Source organism: Homo sapiens, chromosome 14, assembly GCF_000001405.40.
Source record: "Homo sapiens chromosome 14, GRCh38.p14 Primary Assembly".
In the NCBI taxonomy this organism is placed as follows: Eukaryota; Metazoa; Chordata; class Mammalia; order Primates; family Hominidae; genus Homo; species Homo sapiens.
In genome coordinates this window covers 34333661-34336831 of record NC_000014.9, presented here as the reverse complement: position 1 = coordinate 34336831, position 3171 = coordinate 34333661, and positions in this window count along the sequence as shown.

Genomic DNA, 3171 nt, shown 5'->3' with positions numbered 1-3171 from the left:
TTCAGTGAGGAGACTTTATGGGCCTTAAATGGTTTGAAGAGTCTCAAGCCTGCCCACAATGGCTCTTACATGCCCTTAGGCTGCGAAGAAATTTTAAAGACTGACCCCAGATGCTATCTGTGGACCTTGGAGCTGGGAGGAGTCATAAATCCTGCATACAGCCCCAGAGGCCCTCACACAGTGAAGGCAGCTCTGAGGTCCCATCAATGATTTCCCATGTATTTGTCTAGATTCCTCCACTGGCTGTGAAGTTGGGGGCAGAGGTCTGCCCACTCTCTGGTGTCTCTTCAGAGCCTGGCATATACATACTTATTGAGCCAATGAGTAAATGACTGAAACGCCTTAAAGTAGCTTAGAAACAATTCCACTTTGATTATATGATGGTAACATAGTGTCTATTGATGGGAGCCCAGATTACTAGGGCCACTTTTATTTTAAATACCGGATTTGGAGTAATCTGGGACAACTTCCCATTGGTGTTCATGATAGGAAAGGTTGTTGGGAAAAACCACCAGAAGAATCCTTCTGGGCTCTTGGTCAGGTTGGCCTAGAAGTGAGGCAGGAGAATAGGGTCTGGAGGCAGGGAACCTCAGGACTTCCTAGAACTAAATCAAGTGGAAACACTTCAGCTACCACAGGAAATATCATCTTCATTTACATAGGGCGTACACCAAGTAAATGACTTTGTAACTTTATTTCATCCTCTTCATTTACATAGAGTGTATACCAAGAAAATAACTTTGTAACTTCACTTTAGTCTCTTCATTTACATAAGGCTTAACACCAAGTAACCAATGGAAACCTCTAGAGGGTATTTAAAACCCAGAAAATTCTGTAACAGGGCCCTTGAGCCCCTATGCTCATACCTGCTCCCACCCTGTGGAGTGTACTTTCATTTTCAACAAATCTCTGCTTTTGTTGCTTCATTCTTTCCTTGCTTTGTTTGTGCATTTCGTCTAAATCTTAGTTCAAAACACCAAGAACCTGGACACCCTTAACTGGTAACAGAAGGGCTTCTTACTAGCCTAGTCTTCTACAAGAAATTGAACTGGAAGGATTCAAGAACAGAACTTCTGAACTAAAACAAAATCTTGGAAAGATTAAGGCAGAAAGGTTTCTTTAGTTTGGTCTTCATCCTTATTTTCCTTCCAGCCAGGATTTGGATTGATGGAGAGTATTGATTAATATGAAAGATTTGGGGCCTGGTGCGGTGGCTCACAACTGTAATCCCAGCACTTTGGGAGGCTGAGGCAGGCAGATCGCTTGACCCCAGGAGTTCAAGATCAGCCTGGCCAACATGGTGAAACTCCATCTCTACAAAAAACCCCCCAGATTAGTCAGGCATGGTGGCATGCACCTGTAGTCCCAGCTATTCCAGAGGCTGAGGTGGGAGGATCACCTGAGTCCAGGAAGTCAAGGCTGTGGCAGGCCAGGTCTCACTAACGCAGGCCTCCATAACAACTGTTTCAGCACTGACTGTGTAGTTAACTTAAATATTAAAAGCTGAAAGAGCCAGTGTCCTTACACAAAGGCTGGGATGTAACAAAAGCCCACCAAGAGCTTTGCCTAGGTCTTTCCTGGGCCTTAAAGCAAAATAATGAAGGAATTCTTAACAGGACCTGTTTAGGATTAAACAAGTTTTATTGGGGGTCTGAAGAAACTCCCCAGGCCTTCACAAACTCCTCAAACCTTCATGATTTAGCAGGAGACAAAATAAGGTTAATCACTCCAGCAACTGGACCCATTTAGATTGAGTAAATTTACTGAGGCTCCAGAGGAAGGTCTTCAGGACTCACACCTTAATTTTAGATTAAAAGAAGTTAATCACTTATGTCTTTTGATGAATGCACACTTACATGTAGACTTATAGCTTAAAAGGTATATAAGCTCTGGAAAACTTTGTAATTTTGAGTTAGTCTGGTGATAATTTCCAGGCCTTCTCCTTGTAACCGGTTGCAGAAATAAAAATCTTCTTCCTCAGTTCATCTGCATCTTGTTATTAGGCCATAAGAAATAGCAGCCCGACCCTCAGTTTGGTCCGAGAACAAGGCGGCAGTGAGCCATGATTGTGCCACTGCACTCTAGCCTGGGTGACAGAGCAAGACCCTGTCTCAAAAAGAAAAAAAAAATTGCAAATGTTGAAGATTGTGGATTTCATGGATTTTTTTTCTATACAGGGACTGCATTATCTCAAAAAATTAAAAACAGCCAAATTCTCATGTGTCTTCTGAACTGGGTTAATTGCTCTTGGGAGTTTAATTTTAGTTTCTGAGGCCTCTGACTTGCCAGAGGCAGTGTTAGACATGGGGTCATCAGCTTTCCCCAGAGGACTTCCTTTTAGTTAAGAGGCTTGTTTGGGGCTGGAAGAAGGGAATTTTTTTTGGTGGGGGAAGGAATGTGAAAGGATGGTAGTGCTTTTTCTTGGGAGCTGTGCTCACAAGGTCTGAGTTTTGTATGTTGTTTATTTACCCAAAAGGGGAAAACTGCAGTTATCTAATGTTATATGCAGGATATTCCCCAAACCCTGGGACAAGCAAGGTTTCCCAGGTACCTGTTTCTTTTTTTTTTTTGAGATTAGTCTGTGTCACTCAGGCTGCAGTGCAGTGGCACGACCTTGGCTTACCTCTGCCTCCCGGGTTCAAGCGGTTCTCATGCCTCAGCCTCCCAAGTAGCTGGGATCACAGGCATGTGCCACCACACCCGGCTAACTTTTTGTATTTTTAGTAGAGACGGAGTTTCGTCATGTTGGCCAGGCTAGTCTCAAACTCCTGACCTCAAGTGATCTGCCTGCCTTGGCCTCCCAGGTACCTGTTTCAAAGATGAACTGTTTGTGGTTTATGGAAACTGAAGTCTGGCCCTCTAGGGTAGAGTTTAAAGGGACATCTTATTTCCTAGTCACAGGAAGTTTTCTTGCAAAAGTGGGATCATCTATTGAATTCAAACCTGTGTCCCTCATAGGTTAGAGCCTGTGTTCTGGGCCTTGTATGGTTCGCCAATGTAATAATTACCTGGAAAGTTTGGATCCCTTCAACTCACACACCTCCACTACTCAGGTGTCAACAGTAAATGGGTCTCAGGATTCTCAAGGTGTGATGCTTTGGGGTGTGGGTGGTACCCACAAATCTGTTCTTGTAAAAACCTGAGTGGCCCTTAAAGTAAAAGTTTGAGGGG